At 46.2% G+C, this 18,682-nt stretch overlaps 1 protein-coding gene and 1 non-coding gene across 6 annotated transcripts in view, besides 2 other annotated features; both read left to right on the top strand.

Moving 5' to 3' along the window:
* The window catches only part of COPZ1 (coat protein complex I subunit zeta 1), a 26,716-nt gene continuing 8,034 nt past the window's right edge, over window positions 1-18,682 (top strand). For 2 of the 5 annotated variants that reach the window (NM_016057.3, NM_001271735.2), the window contains exons 1-4: window positions 1-51; window positions 15,417-15,485; window positions 17,076-17,157; window positions 18,095-18,186. In NM_016057.3, the coding sequence (NP_057141.1) occupies window positions 34-51; window positions 15,417-15,485; window positions 17,076-17,157; window positions 18,095-18,186 (261 nt within the window). In that variant the 5' untranslated portion in view covers window positions 1-33. Of the gene's footprint in view, window positions 52-15,332; window positions 15,486-17,075; window positions 17,158-18,094; window positions 18,187-18,682 lie in introns of all 5 variants that reach the window. The other 3 variants (NM_001271736.2, NR_073424.2, NM_001271734.2) reach the window with 3 other exon arrangements.
* Window positions 4,061-4,751: an enhancer, noted in NCBI's record as "NANOG-H3K27ac-H3K4me1 hESC enhancer chr12:54722975-54723665 (GRCh37/hg19 assembly coordinates)". NCBI's record gives its function as "activates a minimal SCP1, AML or CMV promoter by ChIP-STARR-seq in primed H9 embryonic stem cells {active_cell/tissue: H9 hESC(primed)}" and the evidence as "EXISTENCE:reporter gene assay evidence [ECO:0000049][PMID:30033119]".
* Window positions 4,752-5,441: an enhancer, noted in NCBI's record as "NANOG-H3K4me1 hESC enhancer chr12:54723666-54724355 (GRCh37/hg19 assembly coordinates)". NCBI's record gives its function as "activates a minimal SCP1, AML or CMV promoter by ChIP-STARR-seq in primed H9 embryonic stem cells {active_cell/tissue: H9 hESC(primed)}" and the evidence as "EXISTENCE:reporter gene assay evidence [ECO:0000049][PMID:30033119]".
* MIR148B (microRNA 148b) lies at window positions 12,086-12,184 on the top strand. Its single transcript, NR_029894.1, has one exon. It is a non-coding gene; the product is annotated as a microRNA 148b (primary transcript).

An 18,682-nucleotide genomic window follows, 5' to 3' on the forward strand; every position in this document is an offset into this window, starting at 1 on the left:
GCGGCTCCACGTCGGCACCAGCTGCGGGGCAAGATGGAGGCGCTGATTTTGGTAGGAGCTGGAGGGGCAGCAGAGATGCTGTGGTGTCCACAGGGGCCGGGAGTCAGGGTTCAGCCCGAGTGGGAGACGGGGAAAGAGAGTTCCGGGTAATTCTTGGGGACTGAGCGTTCTGCTGACCTTTGGAATAAGTGTGTGGCCTAGTGTAGGAGCTAAAGCCTTGGTTTAGAGTAGGAAGCCCTGCCGGGGAGAGGGCATAGAGTCGGTGGAAAGTTGAAGGCAGCACATGGACTCCTTAGGATACACAGACCTGTAGGCGTACTGGATTAGGACCCTTCAGGTTGCCCCTTATTTTTAGCATTGTGGATGATACCCTGATTTTAATTTACCAAACCACCAAACTCGCCCCATATTGTAAGAAAAGAATACAGATGTTTTGTCGTTACAGACTCCTCCTGATGGTTTCCCAAGTTTGACTCTCCATTGCCGATTCCCTGCCACATTCCTTCAGGAAACTGTTTTGTCTTCGGTTTCCTGTTAATCCCTATTATATAGGTTTGTCAAATAATCAGTATTCCATCAAAGTTCTGGGATACCTGATAAAGTTAGCATGGATTGTGGAATATTTTTTCTAGACTCCTTATTCTGTTCTCCTTTTCTCTACCCATTTAGACCTTAGGAATTCTTTTTTTTTTTTTTTTTTTTTGAGACCGAGCCTTGCTCTGTCACCCAGGCTGGAGTGCGCACGTGGCGCGATCTTGGCTCACTGCAATCTCCACCTCCCGGGTTCAAGCTATTCTCTTGCCTCAGCCTCCCGCGTAGTTGGGACTATAGGCGCGTGCCACCACGCCCGGCTATTTTTTTTGTATTTTTAGTAGAGACGTGGTTTCACCATGTTGGCCAGGCTGGTTTCGAACTCCTGACCTCAAGTGATCCGCCCGCCTCGGCCTCCCAAAGTGCTAGGATTACAGGCTTGAACCACCGCGCCTGGCCAGGAATTATTATTATTATTATTATTATTATTATTTTTGAGACGGAGTCTCACTCTGTCGCCCAGGCTGGAGTGCAGTGGTACGATCTCGGCTCACTGCAAGCTCCGCCTCCCGGGTTCACGCCATTCTTCTGCCTCAGCCTCCGGAGTGGCTGGGACTACAGGCGCTCGCCACCACTCCCGGCTAATTTTTTGTATTTTTTAGTAGAGACGGAGTTTCACCGTGTTAGCCAGGATGGTCTCGATCTCCTGACCTCGTAATCCACCCGCCTCGGCCTCCCAAAGTGCTGGGATTACAGGCGTGAGCCACTGCGCCGGGCCAGGAATTCTTATTGTATGATCTAGGATGCTAATTTCTCCCTCTCTGGTTACATGAGAATTGTGGTCGCTAAAGGGCTGTATTAGCCCTCTTGTCCATATGATGCTTTATGCTTGTTCTAACAAATAAAATACCTGTTACCCCTTTTTAGAACTGGACCAGAGAATTTCTCTCAAAAGTGCCCTATTTTGCGATTTGGAGGGGTGTGTGTGTGTGTGTGTGTGTGTGTGTGTGTGTGTGTGTAGGTAGGTAGGTAGTATAGTGTAGGAATTTAACTCCCAGCCTTCTTCCTTAATTGGCTTGAACTCTAGGCCTCTTTCCAAAGAAGCTTGTCTTTTATTTTCCTTCAGATCTCCTAAGCATACACATTCAGATCCTCATCAGATAAAAGAATAACAGGTTTTAATTCCTCTCTTTCAGTTAAAGACAGTTAATTCCTTATGTCGGTTGGTCAAATATAGGTAAAAAGCTTAAAATCTGAGTAGTTTTAAATATTTTCTGTACCAAGCAGTTAACAAGTATTCTTTTTTTTTTTTTTTTTTTTTTTTTTTTTTTTTTTTTGAGATAGAGTCTGGCTGTGTTGCCCAGGCTGGGGTGCAGTGGTGCAATCTTGGCTCACTGCAACCTCCGCCTCCCAGAATCAAGCAATTCTCATGCCTCAGCTTCCTGAGTAGCTGGGGTTACAGGCACGCGCCACCATGCCCAGCTAATTTTTGTATTTTTAGTAGAAACAGGGTTTCTCCATGTTTGCCAGGCTGGTCTAGTCTTGAACTCCTGACCTCAAGTGATCTGCCTGCCTTGGCCTCCCAAAGTGCTGGGATTACAGGTGTGAGTCACTGCACCCCGGCCAGTTAGCAAGTTTTTTTTTTTTTTTTTGGAAACAGAGTCTCGCTGTGTCACCCAGGCTGGAGTGCAGTGGTGTGATCTCACCTCACTGCAACCTCTGCCTCCTGGGTTGAAGCAATTTCTCCTGCCTCAGCCTCACGAGTAGCTGGGACTACAGGCACGTGCTGCCACACCTGGCTAACTTTTTTGTATTTTAGTAGAGACGGTTTCACTGTGTTGCCCAGGCTGGTCTTGAACTCTTGAGCTCAGGCAATCCACCTGCCTCAGCCTCCCAAAGTGCTAGGATTATAGGAGTGAGCCACCGTGCCCGGCAGCAAGTATTCTTAATCAAGAGGTTGAGTGCAGTGGCTCATGCCTGTAATCCCAGCACTGTAAGAGGCTGAGGCAGGAGGATCGCTTGAGCCTGGGAGTTTGAGGCTGCAGTGAGCTATGATTGTGCCACTGCACTCCAGCATGGGTGACAAAGCCAGACCCTGTCTCTAAAAAAATAAGAATAAAAAACCTCCCCCTAAACCCAATTAGCAGACTAGGATAGATTCTAGGGAATTGGTTTTTTTGGAAGTTTTTAGACTTACCTATATATGTTTAGAAGGGAGCCTGCTTAAAGGTAAAGGAATGAGGAAGATAATAATTGGGGAGCCCTTTTAACAATGGGCCTGTGTGTAGTGGGTAAGCTGGGGGAGTTATATGTGAAAGTATCTCTGTCGGGCGCAGTGCAGTGGCTCATGCCTGTAATCCTAGCACTTTGGGAGGCTGAGGTGGGCGGATCACTTGAGGTCAGGAGTTCGAAACCAGCCTGGCCAACATGGTGAAACCATGTCTCTACTAAAAATACAAAAAAAAATAGCTGGGCGTGGTGGCACGAGCCTATAGTCCCAACTACTCAGGAGGCTGAGGCAGGAGAATCACTTGAGCCAGGGAGGCAGAGGTTGCAGTGAGCCGAGATCGCGCCACTGCACTCCAGCCCAGGCGACAGTGTTAGACTCCATCTCAAAAAAAAAAAAAAGGCCGGGCACGGTGGCTCACGCCTGTAAATCCAGCACTTTGGGAGGCCGAGGTGGGCGGATCACGAGGTCAGGAGTTGGAGACCAGCCTGACCAACATGGTGAAACCCGGTCTCTGCTAAAAATACAAAACTTAGCTGGGCGTGGCCACGCCTGTAATCCCAGCTACTCAGGAAGCTGAGGCAAGAGAATCACTTGAACCTGGGAGGCAGAGGTCGCGGTGAGCCGAGATGCGCCACTGCACTCCAGCCTGGGTGACAGAGCAAGGCTCTGTCTCAGAAAAGTTAAAGAAAAAGAAAGTCTCTCTGTCACATTTCTCTTCCCTTAGTTCTCTGTCTCTGCTTCTTCAGTGAAGTCTGTTTCAGCCTGCTTCTTCCTTATTCTTTTGCTTTAATCTATGCCTAATAGGCTGCATTCACAGATCCCTGCTAACTTGATCAGGTAACCCTGGACTTTGCTTTTAAAACCACACTGGTTCTTTGTTATGGGAAACCTATGTAATGCGGTTAGGGACAATCTGATCAAAGCATATTCTTCTGTCCTTAACTCTACAAGGTACATACATAGCTGCAGGATGTCGAGAAAAAGGGACAGGTAAGCTACAGGGGGTCAAGAAGAACTGTTGATCAAAGTTTGCATTGATTGTGGAATTTCTAAATAACAGTAAGTTCCCTTCTTTTAGGTACTTTACAGTGGGTCACATGGTCACATTTCTTTCTTGAATTAAGTAATCCAGCTCTAGCTTTCAAGCAGATTTGTCTAATCTCTCTCAGGTCTCCTTAGGCTCTAAGGAAAGAGACCCTTTCATCTCTTTTAGTTCCCAATGCTTAATAATAGTGATCTCAGCCTGCATCTTTGGACTTGGCTTCTTCTCTCTTGCTGTATCTGCTGGTTCTCGCTTTTTGAGTTGTGAATGAAGAGGATCTCTGCAGATCACCATTCTCCATTAATAACCTGTGGAATCTTAAAGATAAGGATTTCCCCTTCCTCCTTCCTGCTTTACTTTTTTTCTTTAAAGCTGAATTACTCGGGCCGGGCTCGGTGGCTCACACCTGTAATCCTGAGGTGAGTGGATCACCTGAGGTCAGGAGTTCAAGACCAGCCTGACCAACATGGTGAAACCCGTCTCTGCTAAAAATACAAAAATTAGCTGGGCGTGGTGGCATGCGCTTGTAATCCCCAGCTACACGGGAGACTGAGGCAGGAGAATCGCTTGAACCTGGGAGGCGGAGGTTGCAGTGAGCCGAGGGCCATTGCACTCCAGCCTGGGCAAAAAGTGAAACTCTGTCTTAAAAAACAAACAAAACTGAATTCTGTATCGGTTTAGATCTTTAAATCTTTGTTCATAGGTTTTATTTTTCCTAATCCTCTCTGGATTCACTTTCAGAGTGCTTCTCCAGTGCTTTACAGACTAGACTTCTAATTCTGTACTTTGTCTTACCTTAATATTTTAAAACCATAACCAAATCCTAAATTCTAAGCCTCATTAAAAAATCAGGCCATCCAAAGTGCACAAGGATATGAGTATGTATGGAGGAGGAAACTATGCAGAATATGTCAATGACTTTAAAGGTTGATGTTGCTCCTTGGCCTTTGCTTCCTGAATCATCTTAATGGGGCTTTTGTTAAATTCCTTTGGCCCTAACAGTAGAGGTACTTGGCCTAAATGCCCCCCTCCCCCTGCTCTGGGCAAAGGTATCAATTACATTAAGCCCCTAAAGCACTCCCATCTCGTTCCTGGCAGTCCCCTGTGCCCCTCTCCCAGCTGCGTCCTTGCTGGTGCCTGGCCCCCTCCATTTTGTTAGGAGAAGCAATCTCCTCATTCCTGCGCTGTGGAGATATATTTCTCAGCTAGGGCGCGAGCAGTGCCAGCACTGCCCCCGGTGAGGTCCCTGGCAGCAATAAAAATTTTTATTGTGATTATGTTGGTGTCGGGGTGTCCATCTGGGTTATTGCACACCTAGTTTAATTGATTGAAGTTTAATTTATTGACACTTCAAATTAAATGATCAGAATAAACTGTGCTGTTACTCTGGCCAGCTTGTTTTAATGGTTGATTGCTGGAAGCAGACCTCGGCTTGAACTAAAACCCCCAAAGAGCAATTGACGCTGCTTCTAACTCTCCCCATGTCTTGCCCTCCAAGAAGACCTTGTTATAGATTTCCGACGTATTTATATATATTTTTTCCCTCTTCTTCACAGTGGTGGGAAAGAGTTGGTCCCTGGCAAGGTATAAATTATATCAAAGATCTAGGGGAGCTGTCACATGGTCAGAAGAGGAGGAGGGGGCCTCCATGTGAGGAAAACCAGACCCTTGAGAAGCCAGGTCTGCCTTGGGAGGCAGAGGATGAGTGCAATTATCCAGGTATTTGACGGAGCCTAGTGGCAGGTTTAGGGTCTTTTTTATCTAGATACTTGCTGCTGTTTCTTACTTTACTCCATTGACATGGCTTGATTAGAGTCTGGATGTTGACAAGAAAACAGGTTGTGGAAAGGGAAACTAGAGGAGCAAATCAGATGGAGCAGGGATAAAGAATCAGTACCTATGTACCCACTTGTGCTGGAGTAATTAGGAAGAGGAAAGGCAGAGTGCCCAGGGGACAGCTGATGAAGATGGATTCAGAGAATGAGTCCATGCACTTGTAAGATGCTTGTGCTGGCAAGGGCCCTCTCACATTCTGTCCCTCCTGTTTTTGGGCAGAATAGGTTTCCTTACATCAGATTATTAGGGGGATCTCTCCTGGCCTTACATTCCCTAGCCTGTGTCACCTCTTCTGGTGTTTGACCACACCCATCTCTTCAGGAAGTCCTTCCTGTTGTGTAATCTAAGTTATATATGCTGCAGATGAAGCCTGCTTTTTTATTTGGCTTTTTATTTTCACACTCTTTTTTTTTTTTTTTTTTTTTTTTGAGACAGAGTCTTGCTCTTGTTGCCCAGGCTAGAGTGCAATGGCATGATCTTGGCTCACCGCAACCTTTGCCTTCCAGGTTCAAGCGATTCTCCTTCCTCCGCCTCCCGAGTAGTTGGGATTACAGGCCCCCACCACCATGCCTGGCTAATTTTTGTATTTTTAGTAGAGACGGGGTTTCGCCATGTTGGCCAAGCTGGCCTCGAACTCCTGACCTTGTGATCCACATGCCTTGGCCTCCCAAAGTGCTGGGATTACAGGTGTGAGCCACTGCGCCCGGCCTATTTTCTCACTCTCAATGCAGATATCCCATCCATAGCCAATTGCCCTGGATAGCTCGGTCAACTAATTTTCTGCAACTCCTTTTCTGTTGTGTGGTTTTAGAGGGAGACTAAAACCAGAGGAGAATAGAGCAATTCTGCCTCGGGGTTGATTTGGGGGCATAAATAGACTGAAAGATAACACAGAGTCTGTCAATTCAGTCTCTCAGAGACTAGCTTTTTGTTTTCAGGAGCAAAAGCAGGGAGATGTGGGGGGGAGTAAAGGGATAAATCATGATACAAATCGTGACCCAGGACTCATCAGGAATGGATCTAGCCCCTTTTGATTTTTTTCCTTTGCTGAGTGTTATTTAAGTGAGGGCTCCTGGATTACCAAACTGAGAAGGCAGAATGTTCTAATGGTGCTCTCAGGCCTCAGGTCTGGAGTATAGTCTGATTTCTCCTTATTCAGTTCATCTCTCTTCCCAGCAGTACTGCTTTGTCCCTCATTTCTGTGATTCTTTCACTTCCATGATAGTTGAAGAATTAGGGACTATGTGACCCCTGGGTAAAAAATCCTCCAGCAAGGCCGGGCGCGGTGGCTCACGCCTGTAATCCAGCACTTTGGGAGGCCGAGGCGGGCGGATCACGAGGTCAGGAGTTTGAGACCAGCCTGACCAACATGGTGAAACCCGTCTCTACCAAAAATACAAAAATTAGCCGGTCATGGTGTCACGCGCCTGTAATCCCAGCTACTCAGGAGGCTGAGGCAGGAGAATGGCGTGAACCCGGGAGGCGGAGGTTGCAGTGAGCCACTGCACTCCAGCTTGGGCGACAGAGTGAGACTCCGTCTCAAAAAAAAAAAATTTTCCAACAGACAGGCTTTCTGAGTTTTGAGAAAGGTCCTGAGACTTTGCATTCCTAAAAAGCTTAGGGTTTGGTTGTCTTTGTCCTGCCCATTTCACAGTCATCAAATTCAGCCATTGAAAGCTGGAGGTGGCTGGGCATGGTAGCTCACGCGTGTAATCCCAGCACTTTGGGAGGCTGAGGCAGGCGGATCACCTGAGGTCAGGAGTTCGAGACCAGCCTTACCAACATGGCAAAGCCCTGTCTACTAAAAACACAAAATTAGCCAGGTGTGGTGGTGGGTGCCTGTAATGCCAGCTATTTGAGAGGCTGAGGCAGGAGAATCGCTTGAACCTGGGAGGTGGAGGTTGCAGTGAGCTGAGATTGCACCATTGCACTCCAGCCTGGGCAACAAGAATGAAACTCAGTCTTAAAAAAAAAAAGGGAAAAAAAAAAAGAAAGCTGGAGGGAGCGTGGTTGCTGACCTTTATTCCCCCTGCTGGCTGTTAGTTTTCTCAATCATATTTATTAATTTATGAAGGCCACACACACATTTATTGAATTTATCCAGCATTACTGGATGCCAGGTAGAGTAGAGGGGGTGGTTTACAAAAGTATCACTCATTTCCCCTCTTTTTCCTGCCCCCTCCACACCATCTTATTATCTCCAGAGAGAATCTCATTTAATTCTAAACTCGGCTCTGTGAACTCTTTGAAATCATAAAAAAATTATTTTTATTTATATATATATTTTTTGAGACAGAGTCTTGCTCTGTCATCCAGGCTGGAGTGCAGTGGTGCGATGATCTTGGCTCACTGCAATCTCCATCTCCGGGGTTTAAGCAATTCTCATGCCTCAGCCTCCTGAATAGCTGGGATTACAGGCATGCACCACCATGCCCAGCTAATTTTTTTGTATTTTTAGTAGAGACAGGGTTTCGCCATGTTGCCCAGGCTGGCCTCAAACTCCTGAGCTCAAGCTATTTGTCCCCACATTGGCCTCCCAAAGTGCTGGTATTACAGGTAGGAACCAGCATGCCTAGCCATGAAATCATAAAAAAATTTGTGAATGTATTTTGCTGGGAATAAGGTCCATAGATGTAATTGGTTTATCAAAGGGGTCTGCTGTAACTCAAAAAAGGCATTAACCTTAACTGATCTAGGTCAAGCCTCTCATTTCTCTGATGAAGAAGCTGAATCTCAGAGAAAGGGAAAATTTGAGTTAATGGCTGATCCCCATTATAGTACAAGTATTGTAGCCAGGCATGGTGGTGCATGCCTGTAGTCCTAGCTATTTGGAAGGCTGAGGCAGGACTCCTTGAGCCCAGGAGTTCAGGTCCAGCCTGGGCAACATAGCAAGACCCTGTCTCTATTTAAGAGATGGATTGTAGGAGTTTAGAGACATTTTCTCCTGTAATATCAAAACTCTTGTTGACTGTGCTTTACATGTTTTGGGTCTGTGTCAGATAGGAAGATTGTAGGTGTCTCTTCCTGCCGTCAGTTCTTCCCGAGTCATGTGTTGAGTTTTTTCTTTATAACCAATATTTGGTCTCATGTCAGCTGGGTAGTGTTCTGTGGTACCAGTGGCTCCCACTCTTTCCTGAGCTGTGCTTTTTGAATCTAATCTTGTGTGTATACAGAAATAATTAGCAGGGTGTGGTGGCATGTACCTGTAGTCAGCTACTTGGGAGGCTGAACGGGGAGGATCGCTTGAGCCTGGGAGGTTGAGGCTGCAGTGAGCTGTGATGGCACCACTGCACTCCAGCCTGGGTGACAAGAAATAATAATAATATTAATAAATCTGATATAGGCTGGGCGTGGTGGCTCATGCCTGTAATCCTAGCACTTTGGGAGGTCAAGGTGGGCAGATCACCTGAGGTCAGGAGTTCGAGACCAGCTTGGCCAACATGGCGAAACCCCGTCTCTACAAAAAACACAAAAATAAGCCAGGCTACAAAAAACACAAAAATAAGCCGGGCGTGGTGGGAAGCGCCTGTAATCCCAGCTGCCTGAGAGGCTGAGGCAGGAGAATTGCTGGAACCCGAGAGGCAGAGGCTGCAGTGAGCCAAGATCACGCCACTGCACTTCAGCCTGGGCAACAGAGCAACACTGTCTCAAAAAAAAAAATCTGATATGTAAAAACTGCTCTTCCCTGTCAAAGACTTTAGCTAATTCTTCTTTTCTTTTCATCTGAAGTCTATCGGATTGTGGCTGGCAAATTGGAGCCCTTAACCCCAGAGGAGCTTTTAATTTTAAAAAAGTTGGCACAGGCTGGGCACGGTGGCTCATGCCTGTAATCCCAGCACTTTGGGAGGATGAGGCGGGTGGATCATGAGGTCAGGATATCTAGACCATCCTGGCTAACACGGTGAAACCCCGTCTCTACTAAAAAAAATACAAAAGAATTAGCTGGTCGTAGTGGTGGGTGCCTGTAGTCCCAGCCACTCGGGAGGCTGAGGCAGGAGAATGGCGTGAACCCGGGAGGCAGAGCTTGCAGCGAGCCGAGATCAGACCACTGCACTTCAGCCTGGGCGACAGGGTGAGACTCCGTCTCAAAAAAATAAAAAAATAAATAAAAGTTGGCACAGAGGCCAGGTGCAGTGGCTCACACCTGTAATATTAGCATGTTGGGAGGCCGAGACAGGCAGATTGCCTGAGTTCAGGAGTTCAGGACCAGCCTGGGCAAGATGGTGAAACTCCATCTCTACTAAAATAAAAAAAATCAGCTGGGCATGGTGGCAGTCACCTGTAATCCCAGCTACTGAGGAGGCTGAGACACGAGAATTGCTGGAACCCAGGAGGCGGAGGTTGCAGTGAGCCAAGATTGTGCCACTGCACCCCAGCCTGGACAACAAAGTGAAACAAAGTGAAACTCTGTCAAAAAAAAAAAAAAAAAAGTGTTGGCACAGAGTCAGGAAGTATACCTACTTAGCCATTTGGAGCTGGGAGTGGTATCTAGGAATTTCTCCTTCTAGTTTTTACCTTCTTAGTTTTACTTTATAAACAGGATTGAGACAAGAGAATCTTGTTACAGTTTTTAATTCACCAAGACCCATTGCCACATCAGGGTAATGCCACATCAGGCCCTTTTGGTATGGCCTTAGGGAATGTTTTTTTTTTTTTTGATCTGAAGTCTTGCTCTGTCGCCCAGGCTGGAGTGCAGTGGTGCGATCTCAGCTCACCGCAACCTCTGCCTCCCAGGTATAAGCGATTCTCCTGCCTCAGCCTCCTGAGTAGCTGGGATTACAGGCGTCTGCTACCATGCCTGGCTAAGTTTTGTAATTTTGGTAGAGACAGGGTTTCACCATGTTGGCCAGGCTGGAAGGATTTATTTTTAAGTAGACAATGAAGAACTTTTTAGTGATCTCAGTCAGCTTCTTTTTTTTTTTGAGGCGGTCTCACTCTTTTGTGTAGGCTGGAGTGCAGTAGCGCAATTGTAGCTCACTACAGCCTTGAACTCCCAAGCTCAAGCGATCCTCCTGCCTCAGCTTCCTGAGTAGCTGAGACTACAGGTGCATGCCACCATGCCTGGCTAATTTTTGTTTTTTTTAAGTTCTTGCAGAGACAGGGTCTCACTGTGTTGCCCAGGTTGGTCTTGAACTCCTGGCTCTAGTGATCTCCTGCCTCAGCTTCCAAAAGTGCTAGGATTACAGGCATGAGCCACTGCGCCTGGCCTCCATATTCTTATTTGTGCTCTTTCAGCTCTGTAGATGGCATCCTGTAATTCCCTCCATAGAGGCTTCTTGGTTTTTTCCCCTAAATGAATCAAATAATTCATTATAGTTTCCAAGTATCCTCTCTACCTTCCCCAAACATATTCTCCCAGTCTTCTGGTGGCTTACTAAGATCTTACCCCAAAGAGTTCTCTTACTATATACATTGTGAACAGACTTAATTCACTTATTTTTCAGGGCCCATCTCTACTAGTTTGTCCTACAAGACACACAAATAGAGAGCTTTTGCCGGGTGCGGTGGCTCACGCCTGTAATCCCAGCACTTTGGGAGGCCGAGGCGGGCGGATCACGAGGTCAGGAGATTGAGACCATCCTGGCTACAGTGAAACCCCATCCCTACTAAAAATACAAAAAATTAGCCGGGCATGGTGGCAGGTGCGTGTAGTCCCAGCTACTCGGGAGGCTGAAGCAGGAGAGCTTGAACCAGGAGGCGGAGCTTGCAGTGAGCTGAGATCGTGCCACTGCACTCCAGCCTGGGCGACAGAGCGAGACTCCGTCTCAAAAAAAAAAAAGCTCTTATCCAGAGCTGCCTTTGAAAAATATTTTTGCTTATGACTGTAATCCTGTGGAAGCTGCAGGTCACCGAGAAGGCCCACAGGGGGCAGCACTAGGAATGACTCTTTCCCTCTAGTCCTCTATGCGCTAGGGGAGAGAGTTCTTGGAGATGTTGATGCTTTTCACCAGGCTTTAGAAGCCCCTGATTGAGGCCGGGCACGGTGGCTCACGCCTGTAATCCCAGCACTTTGGGAGGCCGAGGCAGGCAGATCATGAGGTCAGGAGTTCGAGACCAGCCTGGCCAATTTGGTGAAACCCCGTCTCTACTAAAAATACAAAAATTAGCTGGGCATGGGGGTGTGTGCCTGTAGTCCCAGCTACCCGGGAGGCTGAGGCACAAGAATCACTTGAATCCGGGAGGTGGAGGTTGTAGTGAGCGGAGTTTGCTCCACTGCACTCCAGCCTGGGTGACAGAGAGAGACTGTCGCAAAAAAAAAAAAAAAAAAAAAAAAAGAAGCCCCTGAGATCAAAGATTCATTTGCAGCAGCCTAGTTGCTTGTTCTGTGGTGTTTCACCTGTCTTGAGGACAGCATTCTTGTTTTCTTGATAATAAAAACATAAATACATGAAAATCTGTCTAAGTCACCCAATCTCCCACAAAACAATCTGCCTATACATCATTTCCAAGCACGATTAGCATTTGAGGTGAAGTTCTGTTATACACTCAGGCTGTGGCTCTCTGAAAGTCAGTGCATCACAGAACTTTGTCTCGAAAGCTTTCTAGCAGCTACCCATTTTGGGAGTGGGAGGGAAGAATAGACCTTTTAAATTCTTTCAGTGTGGCCCTAAGCTGATAAGGTCTTTCTCAACAGTCAGCATTTAATGTGTTACAAGGTCAAGCCTAGTCCATTGTCCTGGAAGCCCATTTCTCAGTAGCTGGGAGTTATTTATAAACTTGCCCTTTGCAAAAACTTAAAATGAAATTACATTATCAGTAATGACTTCTGGGGCCTTTAAACTGGCTAGTTTTATGGCATAGCCCTCCCCACTCCTGAGAGGTAAAAGCCCCAGGCTGAAGTGGAACCAGCTGCAGTCAGGAGGTGGCAGGAGAAGTAAAGAAGCTGCTGGCTCCAGCTGTAGCAGAATGGAGAATTGAAGCGGCATTTAAGCGCCTGCCTAAATTCTCAGCTTTATTTAGTATGCTTCCTCCTTTGGAAGTTTGAAATGACCAGCCTTTTCTGTAATGCCTTCTTTCCCTTTTGAGAGCTCCAGTAAGCTCTATGTCAAATCTAGTCTTTATCCTTGTCCTCCTTAGCCTGTCTTTTATTCTTCCCAGGAAGATCCAATGTTTCTATTTTTGGGGTTTCTTTGATAATGTCTTCTAGGAAGCCAGTGAAAAGAACCAAGAGCAGAACCCAGGGATATGTTCTCTCTTTGCCGGTGTGGCTGTTGTAGGCACTCACACCCTGTTGGCCACAAAGGACATTGTCTGACTCTCCCAGTTGGCTGGGGGCCATTAGGGCTTTGCTTTTCTTTGGGTTCTAGGGATGCCAAACTCTATGGCTGCAAGAACCAGTTTCCTATGCCAGGTTAATGCCCAGCTTAAACTAATGGGCAGCTCTCTAAAGTTGCTGTGAATGTGGATAGAGGAACAGAGCCAAAGATTTCCAGGAAAAGGTTGTGGGAAAAAATGATTTCGTCTAAATTTTGTTCCTTTTGGACTTCTTTTCTTCCATTAAGAAAACTCATTCCCATTGTTGTCTCCCTTTTGGAATTGAGGACCCAAGTTGTTATAGAACTGAGCCTGCTTTACAGGAAGATCTTTCTGTGAGGAATTAGGAGTTAGGAGAGCTGCTTCTACTTGTGACCTTTTAAGACTAGACTCTAGAGGACTTCCCTCCACTAGGCAACAAAGTTCTTTAGTTTGAGAGAGGAGTTACTCATGCCTTGTTTATTCCAGAGTGTTATATATACAGGATGGACATCTCTAAGGAGTGTTTATCAGAGGAGGGATAAAGTTGGTAGTAATATCACCCAAAGTGGCCACATCAGAAAATCCACTTATATGTGGAGGTCTAATTATAAGTAGTCCCTTAGATGCATACTGCGTCAAGGTATTTTAACTTTATTCTCAAACTTCCTTTATTCTCTGAATTATTCACCAAATATTGAGAGTTTAGTATGTGTCAGGCATTGTTCTGGACAAATGGGACAAACCAGCGAACAAAACAAAAATTGCAGTCCTCAAGAATTCAAGTAGGGAAAGCTTATGTTCCTCATCACCTTGTTGTCAAAAGACTGGGTTCCTTTTACTTCCATTCTGAACTGCCCTCCTCTGCCCCCGCAAACAGGGTTGATTCTTTGCATGGAACCATAAACCTCCTGAAGCCTCATGAGGCAATTTATGTTTGTAGAGGCTGCAGTTTCTGGGTTCTTGGCAATGATTTTTTCCTCCTCACTCTTGGATATCTGTCAAACACATACTTTTGTGTTTGGCTCCTGTGAGGACTGTGGGTTTCTTAAATAAGGCCAGGAAAGAGGTAGCAAAGCAACAGCCTTGTCTCAGCACAAGGGATATCAATGGTAAGTAATGTTGATTAGAAAGTCAAGGAATGTAGGTCGGGCGCAGTGGCTCACACTTGCACTTTGGGAGGCCTAGGTGGGAGGATTGTTTGAGCCTAGGAGTTCAAGACCAGCCTGAACAATACAGTGACACCTTTTCTCTTAAAAAAAAAAAAAAAAAAAAGAAAGTCAAGGAATGTGAGGCTGCAAATACCTTTCATGCACACATCACTATCTCTCCACACTTTTGGTTTTTTCTATTCAATCAATTAGAGATGGGGTTTCACTCTGTCACCCAGCCTGGAGTGCAGTGGCGCAGTCCTAGCTCAGCGTGGTCTTAAACTCCTGGGCTCAAGAGATCCTATCACCTCAGCCTCCTGAGTAGCTAGGACTATAGATGCACGCCACCACACCTGGCTAATTTTTTTTATTTTTGTAGAGATGGGGGGTCTCCCTGTGTTTCCCAGGCTGGTCTTGAACTGGCCTTAAGCAATCCTCCTGCCTCAGCCTCCTGCGATTTTCCTTCTCCTAGTTAGCTGGCTCCCTTGAAGTTGCAGTGGTAGAGGAGAGCAACAGACCACCACAGGTTTTGCAAGTGATATACTTACAGTTGAAGAAGAACCATTAAGACTGAGGCCGTGATTCCTTATTTGATTCTTGGTAGTGGAAAAAAAATTACCCTCTTGCTCACTCACTCTAGGCCCCAGAGTGTTTCTCAGATAGATCATCTTCTCACTGCTTCTTAACTCCCCCAAAATTCAGGTTGGCTTTTGTCCTTGGAAGTTAAGTGGTAGTGGTTAAGGTATAGTGGAAGAATTGGAGAACATAGGAGAGTTTTTGAAGATGGCTGTTTTACTAGGCTGCATTGAGAACTGGTGTGCCTGTGCGTGTGTGTGTGTGTGTGTGTGTGTGTGTGTGTGTGTGTGTAAACGCTCTTTTCCCTCTGCTTAGTGTGTGGGTGGTTTAGGGAAGGCTTGCTTTATGCTTCTGCATTGCTACTGCATTCGGACTGCAGAAACTTCCAAGTATACTAGGACATTCAACCCTATTTTCAAATGGCTTTGTTCAGTGCCTTTTAATTAATCTGGTCACATTCTATAGCCACCTGTACATGGGAGAGCAGGAAGGGAGAGGGTAATTTGGAAAATAACTGTACCATAATATTTGGAAATAACAGCATGACCTCTCTTGATTAAGCCCCCTGTGAGTCAGAGAAACTGTTTCTCTGATGGTACTTTGGAATCCTTTGTTTAAATGCTTTCTCTGTCAATTCAGTTTACTTACCCTGGGTCTTTCTCAATGGGAAATATCAAAATCTGACCAAGTTGAGGTAAGGGACTTACAGAGGTACCTCTGTATCCCCTTGCAGCCCCAGTGGGACTAGGGGAAGGTATCTGGTTTACCAGTGGTGATGGGAGGCTTCAGGACTGAAGGTATGTTCGTATCTCTTCAGGAACCTTCCCTGTATACTGTCAAAGCCATCCTGATTCTGGACAATGATGGAGATCGACTTTTTGCCAAGGTGAGATTCCCTTTCGAATTAGTTTAGGAACAGCACAAAGGTTTATTCTGAGATTTGAATCTTGGGACTGATACCTTATTAACTTATGTTCCTCAGTAGTATAATTTTGAGAATACTTCCATCTTTTTTTTTTGAGATGGAGTTTCGCTCTTATCACCCAGGCTGGAGTGCAATGGCGTGACCTTGGCTCACTGCAGCCTCAGCCTCCCAAGTAGCTGGGATTACAGGCACGCGCTACCACCCCCGGCTAATTTTTTGTATCTTTAGTAGAGACAGGGTTTCAGCAGGTTGGCCAGACTGGTCTCAAACTCCTGACCTCATGATTCGCCCGCCTTGGCCTCCCAAAGTGTTGGGATTACAGGTGTGAGCCACCACACCCGGCCTGAATTCTTCCATCTTATCTTGCCTACTCCAGATAAAACCTGTTTTCTTTTGTCCCTTAGTTGTACTGCTGCCCTGCTTGCTGTCCTCAGACTTTGACCTCCTTTGTTGTCAGCATCAGATCAGGGAAAAGCTTTGAAACTTTGGTTCCTAACAAAGCAGTATGTAGATGCTAAGAGGCAGTCCGCCCATGTCCATCATTCCTGTCCCCTTCCCTCATACCATGTCACCCTGCCTGGGTTTTTCCAGAGAATTGTCTTGCAGTTCCAGGTTTCCATTCCTAGGTTTATAGTCACCATCAAGCTTGTTACCTCCTGACTTTCCCAGAGTGATGTTTCCAACTTTAGATCTGTTGGAAGAAAGAAGAAAGGACACCCTCTCTCCCTCCATATTCTCCCCCTCCTGTAGAAATTTCTTCTGTCCCTGGTGTATTAACTCCGGGCGAGCGTAGCATAAATCAATCAGCAGGTAGAGATTAGTTTAGAATTCACCAGCTGTTCCTCCCTGTAATTGGATGTAACTATGCAGGACACCTTTTGAAACAGTTATCCAGTTACTAAATGCCAGACCTGTCATGGGTCTTCAGCTGACTGCGACGGATTAGCCCCTAAAGAGCTAGCGATTTAGCAGCCTGCATCTCCGCCCCCTTTGCCAGGGAGAGCCTGGGAATGGGCTCAGTGGTATGCTGGATGCTTCTTTCAGCTTGCAGAAAAGAAAGCTAAGATAGATCATAGGGCAGGGTTTGCCTTTCTTTGGAGGAGGTTTTTGTAGCCTTTCCCCATTCCTCAGCTTCATACAGTGAGTGAGGGTCTATGGAAGTGTTCTGTGCTTCTAGTGTTTTTTGTGTTCTCTGGCACTGCTTCCTGACATGGGGTAGCTCCTAGGAAACACTTGATGAGAATGGTTTTAGGAGAGGTCTAGATTGCAGACAGCTGCAGAGCCTCACTGTAGGGCTGGTAGGCTTCTGCCTTCAGACAGTCTTGGAAATGTGAGGTGGGGTTGCTTATGGCAGGGTCTTTTATTTATTTTTCTTGGATTACTCACTGCCCATTCTCTGCCTCTACAATCCTTCCTTTTCCATGTCAGTATTTCTCCCTTGCCCCATGCCTTGAAGGAGAGAAATCCAAGATCCCAGGGCAAAACATAGTCACTAATCATTCTGGCTTCCAGCTCTAGTGACCCAACCCTGTCTTCTTTCCCTCTGACCAGTACTATGACGACACCTACCCCAGTGTCAAGGAGCAAAAGGCCTTTGAGAAGAACATTTTCAACAAGACCCATCGGACTGACAGTAGGTCATTTTCCTTTCACTACTACCCGTGCTGGGGGGAACCATGGTGGAAAGGGGGTGGTAACAGGGCTGCAGAGAAAGGATGAAATGACTCTGCCTTTTTCTTTTTTTTTCCTTCTTCCCCTTGTATAATAAACTCTTCAGAATGTAATGGGGAGGTGAGTGTACCTCACGCGGGAATACCATGCTGGAAGGTTGGCTGTTAGCTACCTGTCTAGTCCCTGGATTTATGAGCCTCACTTGACAAATTTAATTGCAGCTCTGCTTATTGTACCGCATCCATTAGGGCAGGTAAATGGAAGTCTGTAAAGGTGACCGCTCTGCATTTTCACCTCCGAAGGATCGACTAGTATCCTGTCTCATATACAAGTAGGGAAATAGGTATAGTGGGCAGGAACAGAGGATGGTGGTTACAGAAGATACATTTAGACTCCCCCAAGTTCATACTTCTCTTCTCCTGCCACCACCCAAAAAGTGCAGATCATCTTCTGGCTTTGGAAGTCATTACAGGCGGCCTCACCTTAGCCCAAAAGAGCTGGATACTAGGAATTCATGGTAACGCCTTCTTTTTTTTTTTTTTTTTTTTTGAGACAGAGTCTCTCTCTGTCACCCAGGCTGGAGTACAGTGGCGAGATCTCGGCTCCCTGCAACCTCCGCCTCCCAGGTTCAAGTGGTTCTCCCATCTCACCCTCCTGAGTAGCAGGGATTACAGGTGCACACCACCACGCCCGGCTAATTTTTGTATTTTTAGTAGAGACGGGGTTTCACTGTGTTGGCCAGGCTGGTCTTGAACTCCTGACCTTAGGTGATCCGCCAGGCTCGGCTTCCCAAGGTGCTGGGATTACAGGCATGAGCCACTGCGCCTGGCTGGTAACTCCTTCTTTCCTACTTCCTTATCTCAAGCCACCCACTATTTTTACTTTTTTTCCCCCACCAGGTGAAATTGCCCTCTTGGAAGGCCTGACAGTGGTATACAAAAGCAGTATAGATCTCTATTTCTATGTGATTGGCAGCTCCTATGAAAATGAGGTGAGAATCCCCACCCCTCTTTGCTATTTCTGATCCTACTTTCTAAACCACAGGCAGTACATAGCCACTGGTTTGGGGCCCTAATAGAGCCGTGTTCCTCTGGCTTCTGACCAAGCTAATGAAGTTGTCAGAGATCCCACCAGCCTCACAAACATGGCCCGGCAAATGAATCGCCTAGAAAGGAAGTTTTCCTAGATTAATCTTTTGCATCCATTAGGAAACATCATATATGTTTTAATACCTTTCCCTGAGTAGTGTTTTTTAAGATGGATTTCTGAGGTATGGTCAAGACTGCAGGGGGATACTTGCTTCTTCTATGAAGGGTCCATACCTGACTGAGTTTGAGCCAATTAGCTAACAACCTGGGTCATGTTGAAACCATACATTCTGAATGGATCACTGGAGAAGACCTTGGGTATAGTCCTAACCTGCTTCCTATATGCAGGAAAAGCTGTTTGCCTCAGATAGCAACTTCTAGGAGAATAGATAAATAAAA

Source organism: Homo sapiens, chromosome 12 (genome assembly GCF_000001405.40).
Source record: "Homo sapiens chromosome 12, GRCh38.p14 Primary Assembly".
Lineage (NCBI taxonomy): Eukaryota > Metazoa > Chordata > Mammalia > Primates > Hominidae > Homo > Homo sapiens.